Consider the following 21,540-nt stretch of genomic DNA (forward strand, 5'->3'; position numbering starts at 1 on the left):
AATACAAAAATTAGCCAGGTGTAGTGGCACGTGCCTGTATTCCCAGCTCCTCTGGAGGCTGAGGCAGGAGAACTGCTTGAACCCGGGACGTGGAGGTTGCAGTGACTGAGACTGCGCCACTGCACTCCAGCCTGCATGACAGAGTGAGATTCCATCTCAAAACAAAAACAATGCAAATCATGGAATCATAGACATCCCTACAGGTCAAGAGAGCTCTTTCCCATTCTTTTTAATAATTGCAAAACTACTTCATAGAATATTCAACTCACACACCTCTGTGGTTGTTTCCATGGTGCCCTACCCTCTCAACCACAATAAACAGTGCTACAATAAACTTTTTTTGTTTTGTTTTGTTTTTTTTTGAGATGGAGTCTCGCTCTGTTGCCAGGGTGGAGTGCAATGGCGCCATCTCGGCTCACTGCAACCTCCACCTCCCGGGTTCAAGTGATTCTCCTGCCTCAGCCTCCCAAGTAGCTAGGACTACAGGCGAGTGCCATCATGCCCGGCTAATTTTTTGTATTTCTAGTAGGGACGGGGTTTCACCATGTTGGCCAGGATGCTCTCAATCTCTTGACCTCATGATCCGCCCGCCTCAGCCTCCCAAAGTGTGGGATTACAGGCATGAGCCACTGTGCCTGGCCACAATAAACGTTTTTATAAATGTATTACTGCTTAGACTCCCCAAAATGGAATATACTGGAATTGCCCAAATGAAGCCTGAGTATTTTTTTTTTTTTTTTTGAGATGGAGTCTCGCTCTGTCGCCCAGGCTGGAGTGCAGTGGCGCGATCTTGGCTCACTGCAAGCTCCGCCTCCCAGGTTCATGCCATTCTCCTGCCTCAGCCTCCCGAGTAGCTGGGACTACAGGTGCACACCACCATGCCTGGCTAATTTTTTTGTATTTTTAGTAGAGACAGGGTTTCACCGTGTTCACCAGGATGGTCTCGATCTCCTGACCTCGTGATCCGCCCGCCTCGGCCCCCCAAAGTGCTGGGATTACAGGCGTGAGCCACTGCGCCCGGCCAAGCCTGAGTATTTTTAATTCTAACACATATTTTCCCAAATTTGAACACATATTTTCCAAAAGGGTTATAGCAACTTATACTTCCTTCAGCAATATTTGTGTGTCCATTTTTTACCATCTTATTGGTACTGGATATTACTACTGCTCTAAAAGTTTTTAACTTTGTTAAACTAATGGATAATAAAATGGTCACACACAGTTATTTTGTGTTTATTTCCTTGACTACATCCCAGGAAGAACGTCTTCTTTTATTAGCCATTTGGATTTCTTCTATAGATGGTCTGTTTGTATCTTTTTGCCCATTTTCTACTCTACAGGTTAAAGAGGCTTTTGTATACTGGAGATATAACCAAAAAAGGTCTAAGGTGACTTTACGCAGAGATTGAAGGATGAGCAGCAGATGGTCATCAAGGAGCATGGAAACAGCATTTCAGGCAAAGGAAAATGGAACTCTGTGAACTCAGAAGCATGCTATGGCATGGAAAGCAAAAAGGAAGGAGCACAAGGCAGAGGTCAGAAAGGGAGGCAGGGGCCAACAAACACATAGGGGCTTGAGGGACAAGGGAAGGAACTTGGATTTTTCCCTAGATGTTAGTGGGAACTCCCTGAACTCCCTGAACTGGAGGGACAATAATCTGATTCTGTTTTTATGTATCTAGCTTAAACTCAGAACAGCTTCCAAAATCTTATTCACAGAGGTTTTGTGGTCTTTTGGGCTAAGAATTTAATTATATTGCCTACAAACAAATATAACTGTGTATATTTTACTAACATTTAACTAAATTCTTATCTTACTGTATTAACATTTCCATGTTTAATGATAGCTAGCATGCCTGTATTAATGCATGTATTGGAAATGATTCAGCATTTCACTATTTGGTGTGGTATTTGTATTAGGACTGGGTTATTTTTATTATGCTTAAGAGGTTTCCTTCTATTCTTAAAGTTTTAACTAGAAAATGGTAGTAAATAATATCTCCTTTAGCATCTACAGACTTAACCACACTACTTTGTTAACATAATGAATGAATTATAAGTGATTACCAATAATGAGCCATTCTGGCATTCCTGGAATAAACCCTTTTGTTCACGGTGTTTTATTCTAATAACTCAAGGCTTAATTCCATTTATCAGAGAAGCCATCTTCCACCTTTTTCTGTGGTCTGAAAGAATTCAGATAACGAACTACCTGTTGATTTGCTCCTCAGGACTCCTAAAATACATCATTTAGTCTCAAATGTGTGTTGTGTGTGTGTGTGTGTGTGTGTGTGTGTGTGTGTGTGTCTACTATCTATACAGATAAATATTTTAGAGACAAGGTCTCACTCTGTCTCAGGGTCACCAAGACTAGAATGGAGAGGCATGATCATAGCTCACTGCAGCCTTGAAGTCCTGGGCTCATGTCATCCTCCCACCTGAGCCGCCTGAGTAGCTGGGACTACAGGCGCATGCCATTGTGTCTGGCTAATTTTTGTTATTTTTTTTGTAGAGACAAGTACTTGTTTTGTTGCCCAGGCTGGTCTCAAACTGCTGACTTCAAGCAACCCTCCTACCCTGACTTCCCAAACTTTGTTTATATTTTTGATAGAAAAAATAGTATGTGTATTTTTGATTAATAAAAAATGAAAATAAGCCCAAAACCAGTAAGATAAATGTTTCCAGTCATATTTCTTTCAAATATTAGAAATAGTACCTACCTAATAAATTCAGGAATAAATTTTGGCTGAAATTTGAAAAGAATAAACAGTAAGTCAGTAAAACAGGCTAAGACTACCATAAATAGCTAATAAAGAAACATACCACTTACATGGTGTGAGAGATCAGCATCCATAATAATGATGTAGTTTCCTGTGGCATGTTTCATTCCATGAATATATGCAGTTCCTAAAAATGAAAGTAGATCCATTCAAGAAAATCAACAGAAATCTTTACATATACATTTGAACATCAAGGAAATTGTTTAGCACCTGAAGAGCACACATTAGTTCTCTAAAAGTCAGATTAATAAATTGGTATTTTTCACCTTAAGTACATAAGTTCATGTATATTACATATATAATCAAGAAGGTAGCTGGCCACACACCCCCATTCAGATGTCAATTTAATACAATAGATCATACCTCTATTTCAGTATAGCAAAGAAATAGTTTATAAGTTCAAAAGTCTAAGATTATGTAGCACAATTATCACATTCTCATGCTTTAAAAACCCATCTGGTGTTTCCTTGGCATCCCCCTAAGACACTGATGAGCTCCACATTTACAAATCAGCTTCCTACTTAATATCTCCACTTGGGTATTTCAGAAATCTCAAAGATAACATTGCAAAATCATCTTCCAATTCTCTACCTCTCTCTTACAGGCCACCTCTCCAGGAAAGGCACCAACTATCCAACTGCTCCATCCACAGGTCTAGAGATGATTCTTGATTTCCTGCCTTTAACCATAACTTCTAAACTGTAATTAAGTCCTATTGATTCTCCATCCAAAACATTTCAATTCCCTTTTTCTTGTCTTTTACACCGTAAACCTGGTACGCTAGACCCTTGCTCTGGTATTTGGGGCCAAAGGCCTAGGTGACAATTACTCAGCCAGCTCCATGCCTCAAAGTCCCACAGGGACTTGGCAGGCTAGGGTAACTTGTTAGGAGCAGGACTTGGGGATTCCTGCATTCTCTAGTCCAGACCCCTCACAAGTGTCTTATGAGCAAGGCTGAACTCTTCTAACTTATTTTGTTAAGAAGTGAATATCGGCTGGGTGTGGTGGCTCATGCCTGTAATCCCAGCACTTTGGGAGGCTGAGATGGGTGGATCACTGGAGGTCAGGGAGTTTGAGACTAGCCTAACCAACATGGCAAAACCTCATCTCTACTAAAAATACAAAAAATTGGCCAGGCGCAGTGGCTCACGCTTGTAATCCCAGCACTTTGGGAGGCCGAGGCAGGCGGATCATCTGAGGTCGGGAATTCGAGACCAGCCTGACCAACATGGAGAAACCCCGTCTCTACCAAAAATACAAAATTAGCTGGGCATGGTGGTGCATGCCTACAATCCCAGCTACCTGGGAGGCTGAGGCAGGAGAATCGCTTGAACCCGGGAGGCAGAGATCGCGGTGAGCCGAGATCGCGTCATCGCACCCCAGCCTGGGCAAGAAGAGCGAAACTCCGTCTCAAACAAACAAAAATTAGCCGGGCATGGTGGTACACGCCTGTAATCCCAGCTACTCGGGAGGCTGAGGCACAAGAATGGCTCAAACCCAGCAGGCAGGGGTTGCAGTGAGCCGAGATTGTGCCACTGCACTCCAGCCTGGGGATCAGAGTAAGACTGTCTCAGAAAGATAAAGGAGTGAATATTTACACTTTTTGGTTTCATGGCAGTTTCCAGATTTTTTTGAATCCCAAAGAATCTTCTGGGTTCAGATACTGAGAACATTTGATGCTTGGGAATTGATGGTCTTCAAGATAGCAGACTCCAGTTAAGCATTGTGCTTTCTTCATGTTAAGTTTTAGCACAAATAAAGGCAGAGTTTCCTCTCAGAATTACTGAGCTCATATGAGCTTTTCAATAATGCTGTATGTTTAAAAGCTGGAAAAGCTTCCTTTTTTAAAAATAAAGAATAACTGTTTTTATCACTAGGCTGGAGTGCAGTGGTGTGATCTCGGCTCATTGCAACCTCTGCCTCCTGAGTTCAAGCGACTCTCCTGCCTCAGCCTCCCGAGTAGCTGGGATTATAGATGCGCGTCACGACGCCCAGCTAATTTTTGTATTTTTAGTAGGGATGGGGTTTTACCATGTTGGCCAGGATGGTCTCGATCTCTTGACCTCGTGCTCTGCCCACCTCGGCCTCCCAAAGTGCTAAGATTACATTTGTGAGCCACTGTGCCCAGCCTTAAATGAAGAGTAACTTTTTAAACTTGTAACTTAAAGGATGTTCCAAGGTTTGCAGCATGCTGGTCCAAGATATTTGCCCTCAGACCCATTCTCTGGCCCTTCCCTACTCTGTGCTATATTGGGTGAACTACATATTCCAGATTCTCTTGTCAACTGGCTGCCAAACAGCTTTGGGAGGTACAGGTGGAAGACTGCAGGGAGGGGAAAAGGGAAAAGTCTAAGTGGTCCTCCCTCTGTTACTCTCCCTCCTACCTCTGACTGGGAATTTCCCACAGTTCTAGCTCCTGCCAGGCAGCCCCTGCCCCATCATTCTAGCTCCCTCTGGGCAGCCCAGGTTCTTGGGCTCTAACATCTCTTCCTGCCGTTGCTCCATCCCTAGGGGTGGCAGTGACCTCCAGCTGTTACTAATCTTAGTAGCCTCACTGCTCCATTTGGTTTCTCAGGAACTCCTTCAGGGGTGTAACCAGAGACTCAGTATTAAATTCCCTACACTGAAAGACTTACAGTGGTTCTGTTTTCCTGAGTGGGTCTTGACTTATACAGGCGACCCAAGTTATACCATTTAAATGTCATTAAGATCATTAAAAACCATCATAGGAAGTTACTGTATTTTGGCCCTATTCCAAACTGGGAAAATACACACTGGATCATGTCACCAAGCAAGCAGCAGGTGTGAGGGGTTAGAGATTACACGACTTACCTAGTCCCAACTTTTTCTCTCGTGGTCTTAGAAGCTGTAGGAATAAGAAATAGCATTTTACACACAGAAACAGAAATCTTATCATGTTAAATTTTATCTTATTCAAAAGTGCATACTCACTTTAATAGAAATATAGTTGCACTTGTTAGAACTTAAAGCAAAGTATCCTTAATATTTTTTTGCCAAAAGAAAAAAAAAAGCATTTGGTAACAAACCAAATAGTTTAACGTAGCTAACATTTTTTTTTTTTGAGATGCAGTCTCGCTCTGTTGCCTAGGCTGGAGTACAGTGGCGTGATCTCCGCTCACTGCAACCTCTGCCTCCTGGGTTAAAGTGATTCTCCTGCCTCAGCCTCCAGAGTAGCTGGGATTACAGGCATGCACCACCATGCCCGGCTAATTTTCGTATTTTTAGTAGAGACAGGGTTCCACCGTGTTAGCCAGGATGGTCTCGATCTCCTGACCTCGTGATCCGCCCGCCTCGGCCTCCCAAAGCACTGGGATTACAGGCATGAGTCACCGCGCCCGTCCAGCAAAGCAACATTCTTTAACCCTGACCCTACAATCACAATTTTAAACTTTTTTTTCTGGTGTCACTCACTCTATTTTAAATATGTCTTTACATCTATATTTGATTTTCCTTTTAAATCTATTGATTCCTTCCTAGAAAAATGTAGGACTTACTTCATTATTTTGCACCTTCTTGGGAAATCTGATGTTTGTTCTCTCGATTCCCTTTGGGTTTTGAATACTAATATCACTCTTCCTCTATTAACTTATCTTGACCTTATGCTTGGATGACCTCATCTCCTCTACTGGTCCAAGGACATGTCATATTCCTAATTAAATTCTTTCTCTTTTCTTACTATTGGTCAATCACTTAGTCCTCCTAAATCTTTTTGCTTAATAGTTGGAGCCTGACTTTTACTTGTTTAGTTTTTCCTTTTGGCTGGACACTTTAAAAGTCAAATGCCAAAGTTCTCACTGTGCCCTACGTTTCTGAGGTATGGGGTTCAGGGAGACTCATTAGTGAGCATGTCTTGTCTATCTTGTCCCCTTCTACACTTGCCAGTATATAAGCAGGTTGCCTCTGACTGCAAATCTCTCAACAAAGCATTTTCAATTAAAGCAGATGATTTTTTTTTTTTTTCACTATATGCAATCTGCTGGAGGTTTCTATTTGCATGGAATGTCTTTTTCCATCCCTTCACTTTGAGTCTATGTGTATCCTTACAAGTCAAGTCTTTTGTGGGAAGCATATAGTTGGCTCTTTTTTAAAAAATCCATTCAGTCACTCCAGGTCTTTGGAGAATTTAATCCCTTTATATCCAAGGTAATTACCGACATGTAATGTAAGAACTTCCTACTGCCATTTTGTTAATTGCTTCTAGTTGTTTTGTAGATCTTTTGCTTCTTTCTCTTTCTCCTTTCCTTTATGATTATCTTCTGTACTATTATGCTTTGATTCCTTACTTTTTATCTTTTGTGAATCTACTTTAGGCTTTTCCTTTATGATTACCATGAGACTTACAAAACCCATCTTATAGTGATAACAGGCTATTTTAAGCTGATAACAATCTAACTCTAACTGCTAAAAAGAAATCCTCTACACTTTTACTCCACTATCCCCACATTTAAAAAATTTTAAGTCACAATTTGTATCTATAGCAAAGTACATCTTGCATAAAGATGGATAAAATACACTGCTGTCTGGTAAGAGCTTACAGGAAGGAAAGACATTCAAATAAGCATCTATGATAATTGCAAGTCACTGAACAAAATCGAGCAGGATATATCAGATCACAGCTAGATTTTATTTGATTTTGTGAATAATTTCTGACAAAATACTGATCCCCATCTGGTATCTGCCCTGAAAAAGCAAATTTTTTAAAGCTCATCTGAGATTTTCTACAACTCTGTTTTAGCTGGAAAATCTTTCTTTTAAAAAAAGATAACTTTGGCCAGATGCAGTGGCTCACACCTGTAATCCCAGCACTTTGGGAGGCTGAGGCGGGTGAATCATTTGAGGTCAGGAGTTAAGAGACCAGCTTGGCCAACGTGGTGAGACCTCATCTCTACTAAAAATACAAAAATTAGCCAGGTGTAGTGGCACGTGCCTGTAATCCCAGCTACTCAGGAGGCTGAGGTAGAAGAATCGCTTGAACCCGGGAAGTAGAGGTTGCATGAGCTGAGATCACACCACAGCACTCCAGCCTCAGTGACACAGTGAGACTCCGTCTCAAAAAACAAACAAACAAACAAACAAACAAACATAACTTTGTTACAGTTGCACACCCCCTTAACCCCAAGTGATACTTTCTAAGACCCCCAGGAGATGCCTGAAATCTCCAATAGTACCAAACCTTATATATACTTTTTCTTATACATACACACCTATCACAGTTTAATTTATAAATTAAGCACAGTAAGAGATTAACAATACCCAATAATAAAATAAAACAATTACAACAATATATTGTAATAAAAGTTATGTGAACTTGGTCTAACTCAAAAAATCTTCTTGTACTGTACTTACCTCTTTTCAGACTGCAGGTAACAAATCACGGAAAGCAAAACCATGGACAAGGAGACTATGATACTTATAATTTTCAGAATCTTCAAAGGTTTATATAAAATATTAGAGTATTATGGAGCCATTAACAGAAATGAGGTGAGCTGGTGACAAAAGATCGCCAAGACAGAATTAGAAGTAATGATGATACAGGAAGATGGCAGTTATGTTTTAAAAAACAAGACCACCACACTACCTAGTTCTGCAAATGCACATACACACATATATGCACAAAAAAACGCACCAAACTGTTGACCTGGGTCTCCCCTGTGCAAGGGAATGGGATGCCTATAGAAAATGTTCATCAGGTCGGGCGTGGTGGCTCACGCCTGTAATCCCAGCACTTTGCGGGGCTGAGGTGGGCAGATCACCTGAGGTTAGGAGTTCAAGAAGAGCCTGACCAACACGGTGAAGCCCAGTCTCTACTAAAAATACTAAAATTAGCCAGCATGGTGGTGCAGGTCTGTAATCCCAGCTACTCGGGAGGCTGGGGCAGGAGAACTGCTTGAACCCAGGAGGCAGAGTGTGCAGTGAGCTGAGATCTTGCCATTGCACTCCAGCCTGGGCGACAGAGCGAGACTCCAATCTCAAAAAAAAAATAAATAAATAAATAAATAAAATGTTCATCAAAGGCAACTTCGGTTTTACTGGTAACATTTATATTTTACAAGGATGTGCTTGTTTATTTCTTATGTAGGAAATCCAAACTATTTCTATTTGGTATGCTTTACTTTCAGACTCTTAATTCCACCTCTCCACCCTCCCCTGATCCTTTTTTGCCTCTTCATATCAATCTGATGGCCCCTTTCTATGTGAGGCAGGATAGCATTACAGACAGGAAGATGAACCCTGGAACCACAATGCCTGGGTTTGAATCCTGGCCACTACTCATTTGCCATGTGATCTTGAGAATATAAAGAGGCGTGACAAAGCCCCCTCTCACTTGGCTTTCATGAGGAACAAGCAAGTGGATTCACATAAAGTGCTTGCAAGAATGACAGGCATATACTTTTTGAAGCATGTTTGCCACAGCTGCTTATAAAATACTTTTATGGGAAACTATAATTTGTTTGACAAGAACCTTTGTAAAACTTATCACAGACAATCTTGAAAAAAGTTACTTAAAAACAGAATTGAGACTATAGTACATATACAGTTTTATAAACTGCTTTATACTTATTACAAAGGCATTAAGGATTTTTGAGGGTCATGAGATTACTGCCAGATGATACTTCAGAAAAACAGTATCAATTTATACTAGGATCAACAGTATTTGAGTGGACTTGTTCTATAATACTCTCAGAAACACTGGGTTAAAAAGAAAGGAGAAAATAAAAATAAATCTTCAGCTAATAAGGCTAATATGTACTCTCCTCCTGTTTTGTAAATCTTCACTTATCAGTGAGGCTCAGTATTTTTTTCTTGTTTACTGGCCATTTCTAGTTTTGGTCTTATGAATTATCTGGTTGGTTGGGGTACTGATCTTGTTAGAAATATTTTGGTATTTAGGAATGGACAGAAGTTTAATATTTTCAAGTAGTCAAACCTTTTTATCTTACATTTGATGTTTTAAGAATAATAAACGTGTTACATTTTATTATCAGAGTAAGTTTTTAAAATACTAAACTATAAAATAATGACAAAATGTAAGACAAAGTTCTAAGAATCTACCACACAGCACGGTGACTATAGTTAATAGTATCATATTATATAGTTGAAATTTACAGAGAGCAGATCTTAACTGTCCTCATCACTGTCAACTTGCCCCCAAGGGTAACTACGTGAGGTGATGGACAGGTTCATTCCCCAAATGTGGTATTCATACTTTAAATATATATAACTTTGTCAATTATACCTCAATAAAGCTGGAAGAAAATATGACAAAATATAAATGACTTTATCTGATCTCAAGTTGGGAGATGAAACAAACTACATAAACCAAACATAATAAAAGCATTCAACACAGAGCAGTTGAAGTCCTTCACAATTTCAGATCTCTGCCTTGTAAGCACTGTGAATAGTTCAGAGTAAGTGCCCCCAATTTCTCTATGGTCCTACCTAGTTAGGTCATTAAAAATGACCTAACCTCTCGCTTCAGTTGTGTCACCTACAGAATTTTTAAAAATATCTTCTTTGGCTTCTTTTCTGAAAGATTCATTTCAGCCAGTCTGAAAGGCTGACAAAGCATCTGTGGTGAACACTTTATCTGAGGTATTCTAACATGGTTTCAATATCCTTCATTTTCTCAACGAAACATACATCTGTCACTAAAAGCAAGTGTCATCCCTAGCATGGATTAATACTGTTTTTTTTTAAAAGTCATTTTCTAGTTTAACTTATTTAAATGTCATAAAATAATGAATGAATAAGGAATTTTATCTGGTAGTAGAGGGAAATCGTAACAGTGAATGCAACTTTTTTTCTCATTTTGAATTTTATTGGGTTGATAGAAAAAATGTCTTTGAAGACAATGTTGTTCCAAAATTTGAAAGGTCAGTTTAGTAACCATTCCCTAAAATCAATCAATCACATCCTAAGGCTGAGGTTTTATGACAAAAGTATTCAAAATGTTGTCTGGTTGATGGTCCGAGATTAAATGGCAGCACATAACTCAAAAGTGTTGTGAATCAGTGGCCTTCACCCTGGGCTTCTAAAGAAAACAGGGAACTACTGGCCAAAAATTCAAACCTAGCATTACTGAAAGTCTCTGCTAGAAGCCTGAAAATTTGTCAACTTTTTACCTCTTTCTGTATTCCCATCCATTAGAAGGTTTTCAGAGAAGACTTGAGGTGTGACAGACCTGAGTTACTCATCTGTGAGACAGACTGAAAGAATTCCTAGAACTACATTTACCATGTAGTAACACAGTTCCTTTAAACTCTTGCCACCAAGACCTCATACAACTGACACTCACCTCTAAGTAGAAAGTATTTCTATTACTGAGATTTATCAAGAATATTTAGACTGAGTGGCTTTTTTTTAAAATGATTAATTTACCATTTCTTGAACTGTAAATAACAATAAAGGTTCTCAAAGGGACTTCTTTCTCTATACCAATGGTTCTCTACTGGAGGCAAAGGGTAATTTTTCCCCTAAGGAAATATCTCACAATATCCAAACATTTGCAGTTGCCAAGTGGGGAGGGGGGTTTCTAGTGGCATCTAGTGAGAAGAGTCCAGATGCGGTGCTGAACATCCTACAATAAACACGACAACCCCCACAGTAAAGAATTAATCTGTCCACACGTCAATAGTGCCAAGACTGAAAAACTGTGGTCTGCAATAATTTGTGAATATAAATTATAAAAGAGCTCGAGTATACATAAACATTTGTAAATACAAACCGGTAACCAAAAATAAAATTCATGAAGCCATTATAAAATAAACTCTATATTTGCCTAAGTAACTTCTATATTAGAATAACAAGTTTCAAGGTACAGTGGGTGAATCTAAAGTTTAGGACTAATACAGTCAATCTACTTTCACAAGACTATTCTATAGACTAAAAATGCCAAGTACTCTAAGAAGTCATTAATGTTTCACAAGAAAACAGTAACTTTTTCTACCTACACGCTCTTAATTTCAGGCAGTATTCTCTAATGAAAGCATGAGAATACTTACCGAAAGGGAGCAAGAAAGATTAAGACACACACACACTACCAATTATAACCCAATTATATAATATTCCTTGTCAATTCAGTATCATGCTTTAATTTTTGCCCTTCAAGAAAATTTATCTGCAGAATTAGTTATAAACAGAGTTCATCCAAAAGCTCACTCTTTGCTGTAAAATGACCACTGACCCAACATACCAAAGATATGTAAAATTTTACGGACAACAAAAATGCATTTAAATCCCAAATGCGTAAGTTGCTCTTTATCTTTTCAGTTTCTAAACAAATAGATTGAATTTAAGCATTGTTCATGTCTCATCTTTCCCCTACATAATCACAATTCATATCACAGAAAAATGTTCTTATAACTTACAATTCTGTCTGACCCATAGATCTTCTCCAACTGTTCAGCAACATCCCTTGTTCCATCTGGGCTTCCATCATCTATGATTATAATTTCATAGTTGATTCCACTAAAAAAATTAAATTTGTATTAATGACTGATGACAGTGTTCTCAAATTTAAAAGTAATTTAAAAATTACTAATTCCTTAAAAGTATAAATGGAGATGTATTGCTATATTAATCGTTGAGGAAAACTTCAATTATCAAATGAAATAAATGTCAAACATTTAGTACTTTACCTCCAAACCCAGTATGTTGCTGAAACATGCTAATGTCCTGAGATATTAAAGAATTCCTACACAGAGAACAAACTTTTTAGTTCAAAAGAAAATCACGTAATGACCTATGTATCATATGAATTTTTTTTGTTTTGAGATGGAGTCTTGCTCTGTTGCCAGGCTGGAATGCAGTGGCGCAGTCTCGGCTTACCTCTGCCTCCTGGCCTCAAGCAATTCTCCTGCCTCAGCCTCCGGAGTAGCTGGGACTACAGGCGCCCACCACCACGCCCGGCTAATTTTTTGTATTTTTAGTAGAGACGGGGTTTCACCGTGTTAGCCAGCCTGGTCTCAATCTCCTGACCTCGTGATCTGCCCGCCTCAGCCTCCCAAAATGCTGGGATTACAGGCATGAGCCTCCGTGCCCAGCCATATGAAATTTTATTACCTATTTGGAAATAATATTCTGAACCTTAATAGCAAATCTTAGTTACATAAAATATTTCAAAAGTACTTTACATGGTAACTCAAACCAAACTGAGTAACTCAGTGATTATTCTTGTTAATCTGATCCAAATAGAATAATCAAGTATAAATCTGATTTAATTTCATCTTTAAAAAAACCGATTTTAGAATGGTGACATTATCTTAAACCACAATTTCAAATAGTTGTGCCTATTACCTCACATTATCAAATTAAAAAAACAAAAGCAGAGTAGCATTACAAAAGATTCCACTGTGCTTCAGAATTAACATCTGTTACTTCCCATTAATCTCAGGTGGTAGTTTCTAGTCTAAAAACAAACCAACACAATACTTGGTGGATAAATAATACCTACGACATAACATTCCGTTTTCTCTTGGTCCTGCTTTAAGAAACAAATACAAGAGGCTGGGCGCGGTGGCTCACACCTGTAATCCCAGCACTTTGGGAGGCCGAGGCAGGCGGATCACGAGGTCAGGATATCGAGACCATCCTGGCTAACACAGTGAAACCCCGTCTCTACTAAAAAGAACCCGGGAGGCGGGGCCTGCAGTGAGCCAAGATGGCGCCACCGCACTCCAGCCTGGGCAACAGAGCAAGACTCCGTCTCCAAAAGAAAAAAAAAAAAAAGAAAAAGAAAAAAGAAACAAATACAAGAAAATCAACCAGAAAACATATTCCACTGTTAAAGGCTTTAACAAGTCAGCCCCAGCAAACTTTGAAGACAAGAAAGCAAACCCCTGTGTTATCTATTCTCCAAGAGTAGAACAATGACTTTGGCTTCCCACTGTGCCTTAAATCTGGGCACTGGTGCCTTTACATGCCAAAATATGTAAGGTGATTTTAATAGACGTGCTGAAAGAGAAATTCCATAAACAAAATGGGGTCGTTAAAAGCAAATTACTGTCCCCTACCACTTCAAAGCAGCTACACCACCTGAGGGTGAGGCAGCTCAAAGGTACCAAGCTGGGCTGACTTCAAGTAATTTGATTGCATCTGAAAAGTTTTGTTTCCTTTATCAAACTTCATTTTGATCTTAAAAGATTGATTCACAAACCATTAAAAGGAAACATAAATTGTACTACATAAAAAAATTAAAACAGCAAAAAAAAAAATTGCAAAATTAGAATACAAGCCCTGAACGAGATCGGTTGTATGATAGTTACTTTCTTTAATTTAGAGCTTATAGAAATCAAAATTAAAAGATTAAACAGGAAAAATAAAAATTTTAAAACTCTGAGGGGCAAGGCATATGAAGGCAGTTATTCAAGGAAATACAATCAAAACAGCAATGGTTTTCACAAATGAGTACTTCCAACAATGTTAAGTCTAATGCTCAGGCGGGCTGGTTGATAGGGAAACAGGCACTCTGAAGAATGGAGAGTCCAAACTTGTACAACCTTTTTTTTCTTTAGAGCAATTTGGCAGTAACTGTCCATTTTAAGCACATTTCTGTCGACCCAGCAATCCTACCTCGAAGAATTTATCCCTAGTACACAAGTAAAAGTATGAACGCGTCTGCTGCCAACACTGATGCAATAAAGGAGCACCGCTATGTGTCAAGCACTTTTCTAAATTTAGCTGGAAAATATGGTGTGAACAAAGTCCTTGTTCTCATCGACAAAGCAAAAGCCAAAAAACAGAAACAACCAAAAGGCGCTGGAAATAATCCAGTTCATTGCCATGACCTGATTAAATAAATAACACAGCCATATGGAATGTTACCTAACTTCCAAAGTAATTTGCTATGTTTGTACATGTTAATATGAGAAAAAGTCTTCAAAGATTTCACAGCATGATCCCATTTGTGCAATCGTAAAACAAGTTACTTCGTACTGACTCCAGGATTTTTTGCAGTTTTTAAAAACACTGCATTAACACTTCCAAATTCGAACTCCACCCACCCCCCATCCCGGTTCTAACAATCACACCAAACATCCACCAGTGATCAGCGAAGATGCTCTTCTGCTTTCTCCTTTCCAGAAAGGTTATCGTGCCCAGCAATAGCTCCCTAACCCACACACACCAAACCTCATGCTTATGTAAGCACTCGGCACCGGAGCGGAGAGTGAGAGCTCTCGCTTGGACTCCCGGCTCTTGCCGCAGATCCTGACCGCCTAGAGGGAGGAGTGGGATCACGCTTTCAGCCTCGCTTCCAAGTAAAAGAGTGGCCAACCTTTCTACGGAAAGGCGGGGGACGGGAGTACTACATAATAAAGATAAATGAGAGTCTCACAAAACCCAAGGGCAGGAATGAGAACCCAGGACACGAAGAAAACCCAACAAGCATCCGCCTCTGCTTCCCTCGCAGGGTGGCCCTCTCCCCGGGCCTTCCTGTGTGAGGCAAAGAAGGCTGGACAGGGCCGCTTCGCGCAGCCAGCTGCCGACACCCGGGCCGGGGAAGCCAGCTCATCTCATTCTTCGGGGAGGGAGACCTGGTGCGCTACCTCTCGGAGAAGCTTTTCACCAGCAGCCACACGATGAGCGGCAGGTTCTCGCGCTCGTTGTAGGTAGGTAAAAGCACCGAATATTTGTTCTGTCGTGGACTGCGCACTTCCAGCTCCCGCCGAGACCTGCGAGGACTACGACTGACTTCCAAGGAGGCCATGGCGGAACTGAGCCAGATGCCGGAAGCGGAATTACGTAATGTGGCGCGGAAAAGGACGGGTCGGACCGTACCAAATTCGGAAGCGGGGGATGACCTGTGTGATTGATCGCTAGTTCTTCTAGGGCCATTGCGTGGTTCAATTAGAAATATTCTGGATTTATACATCTTTGAAGTTTAATCTGAAGGTTTCTTCAGGAAGTAAATATCTATTCATCACCTTTTCCCAAGCTCCATAAAGTTTTTTAGTTTATCCCAGTCGCTAGGAGACAGAAGACGGAAGCGGAAATGCCTTTCACGACAACTTCCGGAAGAGGTCGCCATGGCTTCCCGGGAGGAGGTACTCGCCTTACAAGCTGAAGTTGCCCAACGTGAGGAGGAATTGAATTCGCTGAAGCAGAAGCTGGCGTCGGCTCTTTTGGCTGAGCAGGAACCGCAGCCAGAACGGCTGGTTCCGGTGTCGCCGCTGCCGCCGAAGGCCGCTCTGTCCCGAGATGAGATTCTGCGCTATAGCCGGCAGCTAGTGCTGCCCGAGCTGGGCGTGCACGGACAGCTGCGCCTGGGGACCGCGTGCGTGCTAATCGTGGGCTGCGGTGGGCTCGGCTGTCCACTAGCGCAGTACTTGGCAGCGGCCGGCGTGGGCCGCCTTGGCCTTGTGGACTATGACGTGGTAGAGATGAGCAACCTGGCCCGCCAAGTGCTGCATGGCGAGGCACTGGCTGGCCAGGCCAAGGCCTTTTCGGCCGCCGCCTCGCTGCGCCGCCTCAATTCGGCAGTGGAATGCGTGCCGTACACTCAGGCCCTTACGCCAGCCACTGCCCTAGACCTGGTCCGCCGATATGATGTGGTGGCTGACTGCTCGGACAACGTGCCCACTCGCTACCTGGTTAATGACGCATGTGTGCTGGCGGGTCGGCCCCTCGTGTCTGCCAGTGCCTTGCGCTTCGAGGGCCAAATCACAGTCTACCATTATGACGGTGGCCCTTGCTATCGCTGCATATTCCCCCAACCACCCCCAGCGGAGACAGTGACCAACTGCGCGGACGGCGGGGTGCTCGGTGTCGTTACCGGGGTCCTGGGCTGCCTGCAGGCCTTGGAAGTGCTGAAAATCGCTGCGGGTCTGGGCCCCTCTTACAGTGGCAGCTTGTTGCTCTTTGATGCCCTGAGAGGGCATTTCCGCTCTATTCGGCTGCGGAGCCGCAGGCTCGACTGTGCAGCTTGCGGGGAACGGCCCACTGTGACTGATCTGCTGGACTATGAAGCCTTCTGTGGCTCCTCAGCCACTGATAAATGCCGCTCCCTGCAACTACTGAGCCCAGAGGAGCGTGTTTCTGTCACCGACTATAAGCGACTGCTGGATTCTGGGGCATTCCACCTGTTGCTGGACGTCAGGCCTCAGGTGGAGGTGGACATTTGTCGTTTGCCTCATGCCCTACACATCCCTCTGAAACATTTGGAACGCAGGGATGCGGAGAGCCTGAAACTCTTAAAAGAAGCAATCTGGGAAGAGAAGCAGGGCACACAAGAAGGGGCTGCTGTCCCCATTTATGTGATTTGCAAACTGGGAAATGACTCACAGAAAGCCGTGAAGATCCTCCAGTCCTTATCAGCAGCTCAAGAGTTAGACCCTTTAACAGTTCGGGATGTTGTGGGGGGCCTCATGGCCTGGGCTGCCAAAATCGATGGAACATTTCCACAGTACTGAGGTGACTGGTATAGTCTGATGAGAAAGATGTGGATTGCCATAATACCTCAAAGATACACTTGTTTGCATTTTTCGGTAATATACATAGGAGCTGGGGATTCTACAGTATCTGTGAATACGTGGACTCCTTTTTATAAGGAGTTTTAAAAATTGTTATGTATTGGATGAATGACTTATTAATGGATTATACCGTTTCTGAGAACCATCATTTTTTTTTTCAGCACACGGAGGATGTCTTGGACATGTGAGATGTAACGTGACAGGATTTTGCATTTTAAACTGCAGATCATTTACATGTCCTTATTTTCCACCTCCCCCAGTCAAAATGCTTTCTAAATCATTTTCACAGATTATATACTTCGGATCTGTTTACTGTTCAGTTAAGAAATTCTTGGATCTTATTAATATTTCAGATGATAGAATACATCCTACAGAAATACATGTTTAAAATGTAAATTGTTTTAATTATTCAGAAAGAGGGTCATTCTATTTGGCCTTTTGAATTAGTATCAAAATGAGATTTTTTTTTTTTTTTTGAGATGGAATCTCTCTCTGTTGCCCAGGCTGGAGTGTAGTGGTGCGATCTCAGCTCACTGCAACCTCCGCCTCCCAGGTTCAAGCGATTCTCCTGCCTCAGCCTCCTGAGTAGCTGGGATTACAGGCGCACGCCACCACGCCTGGCTAATTTTTGTATTTTTAGTACAGAGGGGGTTTCACCATGTTTGTCAGGCTGGTCTCGAACTCCTGACCTCGTGATCCGCCTGCCTCGACTTCCCAGAGTGCTGGGATTACAGGCGTGAGCCACCACACCCTCCCGAGATCTTTAAAGTTTACCAAAATAAAGGAAACCACCTTTGTAGTCTGTCAGTGTCTCTTATAAATTGCTACTGTTTTCTTAAAGTTAACTTCAGGGTCCACCTTATGTTGCACACATATCACATCGTTTAAATTGCATACTATGGTTTGACTTGCTTTGGAATTTTCAAGTCAAAGTCCCAACCCTTTGCCTCTCCCCCTTTAATTTGCCTTTTCTCTTTTGATTTAATGTTTTTTTATTCCAGCATTTTATACTAATGTAAAATGTTTTTATGTTTGTTTACTTAACATTTTCATAAAATAGTAGGTAGTCTCACCAACTTCCAATATATACAACAACATTATAAGTAAAAATTTGATTTGTGAGTGCCTATCAGTGGCCAGATGAACTAATGGCTTGTCAGAAGGGGGCCTGTGACCTCCTGCTTGCTGCATGCAGGCTTATAATCATCAATTGCTGCTGTTGTTTTTTTAAGAATGGCAGAAATCACAGATACAACTATAAAATCTTTGTATTTCTGTTAACCATTTTTTTTAAAGCTTAAATGTATCATAAGCCAGCAAAAACCCTTTGTAGACCAGATTTACTTACCAGTTTGCAATTTGTGATATAGAATCTTGTTTTATTATAAGAGGGTGGTATTTAACAAATTCAAAATTAGTCATCACTTTTTAACTGTGAAACATTGTAACTAATTCTTTGAACAGGTATACTTAAAGTATGGTATACCCTTCTGTTATAAAGATGAAGCAGGTCTCTTATGACTGTTCCTGCCAACGAGTTATGGAGGTAAATGACTGTGACCTGGAGTGGAGAACAAAGATGGCTGGCCTGTGTTTTTCATCTCCTTCTTCCAGGGACAACTGATTCTGATACATAGCAGGAAACAAATAGCGACACACAGGAACAATTTCATATTCTAAAGACTGAAGTCCTAAAGTTATAGACAGTTGTAGTTCCTATAAACCTGGTTGTCACAGGGGACAGGCAAGAGAAGCTGACTAGCTAAGTGTTAAAAGGTTTACTAAAGTGATAGGAGGTGCTTTTGAGAATTTTGGGGACAGATTCAAGGCTGTACTTCTAGGAATGATGCCCGAAATCATGCACAAAACTGGCCTTAGGAGAACAGTGTCTATGTTGTGCTGCCCTATCAAGTACCGGAGGAAACGCCACTACAGTCTCACCAGTTTCACTTGACGTGCCCCCCCAACTCTCCCAGAAAGCCCAACACTTCAGCCACAGTCCATGTGTCGAGAAACAGAGTCACTACATTATTCTTTTCTGAGTCAAGCCTTATGAGGGTGCCTGGTAGGCAGAGTCTAATTACATGCCTACATCTTAGCTGCAAGAGAGGCTGGGAATTTGTGTTTTGATATCTACAATAGGAAGACAGAACTCATGATGTGGGATTTTCCCAAATAGTGAAATATTTTTCAAAAGATGGGCTGTTAAGAATATAACAGATACCCAGTACACAACCCAGATCTATTTCAGTATTTGTTTTTTGTTGTTGTTGTTTTGGAGACAGAGTCTCGCTCTATCCCCCAGGCTGGATGGAGTGCAGCGGCACAATCTCGGCTCACTGCAACCTCCACCTCCCATGTTCAAGTGATTCTCATGCCTCAGCCTCCTGAGTAGCTGGGATTACAGGCACCTGCCACCACATCTGGCTAATTTTTCTATTTTTAGTAGCGATGGGGTTTCGCCATGTTGGCCTGGCTGGTCTTGAACTCCTGACCTCAGGTGATCTGTGCACCTCAGCCTCCCAAAGTGCTAGGATTACAGGCATGAGTCACTGCACCTGGCATATATTAGTATTTGAAATTTGGTTTTCTCTGGGGATTGTAGCTAGGTTTTTATGGTGAGATAGGATTTGAACATAATTTGTTTTTTGAGACGAAGTCTTGCTTCGTCGCCCAGGGTGGAGTGTAGTGTTGTGATCACAGCTCGCTGTGGCCTCAACCTCCTGGGTTCAAGTGATCCTCCCACCTCAGCCTCTCAAGTAGCTTGAATTACAGTTGTATGCCACCATGCCTAGCCATTTTTTAATTTAAAAATTTTTTGGTAGCAATGGGGTCTGAATATGTGGCCTAGGCTGATCTCAAACTCCTGGGCTCAAGCATCCCTCCTGCCTCAGCCTCCCAAAGTGCTTGGGATTACGGGTATGAGGCACCATGCCCAGCCTGAACTTGATTTTTTTGTTGTTTCCTTTTCATAACAAACATCAAATGCCTTCAGTGTACTAGTTCTTCTAGGTTCTGGAATAAAAATGAGCAAGAGGTTTCCTGTTGTAGAGGAGTTTATATTTAAATGGTGATAAGTAAATTACTGATAAGTGCCATAAAAGAAATGAAACTGTGACATATTAGGGTGGGGGAGGGGATCTGTTTTGAATAGCTTAATTATGGAAGGCCTCAGAGATGACATTAAACCCAAAACCTGAAAGGTGAGAAAGAGCCAGTTACAGAAGATCTGAGGAAAATTCTATACTGGGAGAAAAATAACTGTAAAGACCTCAAGGTAAATAAACTTGGAATGTTCCGTTCAAGAAACTGCAGAGGCAAGTTGGGTTGCAAACAATTAGGGAGAGTGGGACAGGGTGAGGTTTGAGAAGCAGGGAACATCATAAACTTTGTAGACCATAGTAGTTTGGTTTTTATTCTAAATACAATAATAGCTAATATTTTGAGCACTTACTGTGTTATTTGGGATTTGAATCCAGATGCTCTGGTTGAAGAGCCCATTCCCTAAGTGTCATGCTATACTGACTCTAAGCAAAACTTTGCCATTGCTTCATATGTGTTCATGCCCTGTCAGGGCATAGAAAGCAATCTATGTCCTGACAATCACGGAAGTGTATTCCAGATACAATAGAAATGTACTCTGAGACATTTGGTATGCCTCCTTCTCTCTAGATGTGGAACTCCAGAGTGAAATCTTGGGGAATCCTCTGTGTAACACTGGTGTATTACACAGGCAGTGTCCCGAGGTGGGTGGATCACTTGAGGTCAGGAGTTGAGACCAGCCTGGCCAACATGGAGAAACCCTGTCTCTACTAAAACAAAATTTGCCGAGTGTGGTGGTGTGCGCCTGTAATCCCAGCTACTTGGGAGGCTGAGGCAGGAGAATCACTTGAACCTGGGAGGCAGAGGTTGCAGTGAGCTGAGATCGTGCCATTGCACTCCAGCCTGGGCAACGAGTAAAATTCTGTCTCAAACAAACAAAAACCAAGCCCAGAATTTGGGTGAAAAATAGGATAGTTTATTATGAAGTACTGTGGATTGACACTGACTCTGGTTTCCAATCTTTAGTTCAATTATTCACGATTTAAAAAACAACAGTTGTGAATTATCTAGGTGTTTTTTTCTGCTGCTGCTGCCTTTTTTTTTGTGGGGGGGACAGAGTCTCTCTCTCCTAGGCTGGAGTGCATTGGCATGATCTTGGCTCACTGCAACTCAGCTTAGGACTATTTAATTAATCAACAGCTGCTATGTATTTTATCCTCATGCGCATT

The 21,540-nt window shown here is 41.5% G+C and overlaps 2 protein-coding genes and 1 long non-coding RNA gene across 11 annotated transcripts in view, besides 2 other annotated features; 2 read left to right on the plus strand and 1 right to left on the minus strand.

Annotated features, from left to right (window-relative positions):
* The window catches only part of ADNP-AS1 (ADNP antisense RNA 1), a 14,151-nt gene extending 12,033 nt beyond the window's left edge, over positions 1-2,118 (plus strand). For all 3 annotated transcript variants that reach the window (NR_110008.1, NR_110007.1, NR_110009.1), the window contains one exon: positions 1,341-2,118. This is a non-coding gene — a long non-coding RNA (ADNP antisense RNA 1). The remainder of the gene's footprint in view (positions 1-1,340) is intronic.
* The window catches only part of DPM1 (dolichyl-phosphate mannosyltransferase subunit 1, catalytic), a 23,710-nt gene extending 8,162 nt beyond the window's left edge, over positions 1-15,548 (minus strand). For 4 of the 7 annotated variants that reach the window (NM_001317036.1, NM_001317035.1, NM_001317034.1 and 1 more), the window contains exons 1-5: positions 15,347-15,548; positions 12,170-12,269; positions 5,613-5,646; positions 2,831-2,907; positions 2,721-2,746 (exon numbers count right to left, since the gene is read on the minus strand). In NM_001317036.1, the coding sequence (NP_001303965.1) occupies positions 2,721-2,746; positions 2,831-2,907; positions 5,613-5,646; positions 12,170-12,269; positions 15,347-15,507 (398 nt within the window). In that variant the 5' untranslated portion in view covers positions 15,508-15,548. The remainder of the gene's footprint in view (positions 1-2,720; positions 2,747-2,830; positions 2,908-5,612; positions 5,647-12,169; positions 12,270-15,346) is intronic. The other 3 variants (NR_133648.2, NM_003859.3, XR_007067482.1) reach the window with 2 other exon arrangements.
* Positions 15,273-15,762: an enhancer, noted in NCBI's record as "active region_18108". NCBI's record gives its function as "activates an Ori minimal core promoter by ATAC-STARR-seq in GM12878 lymphoblastoid cells {active_cell/tissue: GM12878}" and the evidence as "EXISTENCE:reporter gene assay evidence [ECO:0000049][PMID:35858748]".
* MOCS3 (molybdenum cofactor synthesis 3) lies at positions 15,802-20,913 on the plus strand. Its single transcript, NM_014484.5, has one exon. It carries the CDS (start codon positions 15,827-15,829, stop codon positions 17,207-17,209), a length of 1,383 nt encoding a protein of 460 aa, NP_055299.1. The 5' UTR covers positions 15,802-15,826; the 3' UTR covers positions 17,210-20,913.
* Positions 15,975-16,585: an enhancer, noted in NCBI's record as "H3K27ac-H3K4me1 hESC enhancer chr20:49575528-49576138 (GRCh37/hg19 assembly coordinates)". NCBI's record gives its function as "activates a minimal SCP1, AML or CMV promoter by ChIP-STARR-seq in primed H9 embryonic stem cells {active_cell/tissue: H9 hESC(primed)}" and the evidence as "EXISTENCE:reporter gene assay evidence [ECO:0000049][PMID:30033119]".
* Positions 20,914-21,540: the final 627 nt, after the last annotated feature.

Source organism: Homo sapiens, chromosome 20 (genome assembly GCF_000001405.40).
Source record: "Homo sapiens chromosome 20, GRCh38.p14 Primary Assembly".
Lineage (NCBI taxonomy): Eukaryota > Metazoa > Chordata > Mammalia > Primates > Hominidae > Homo > Homo sapiens.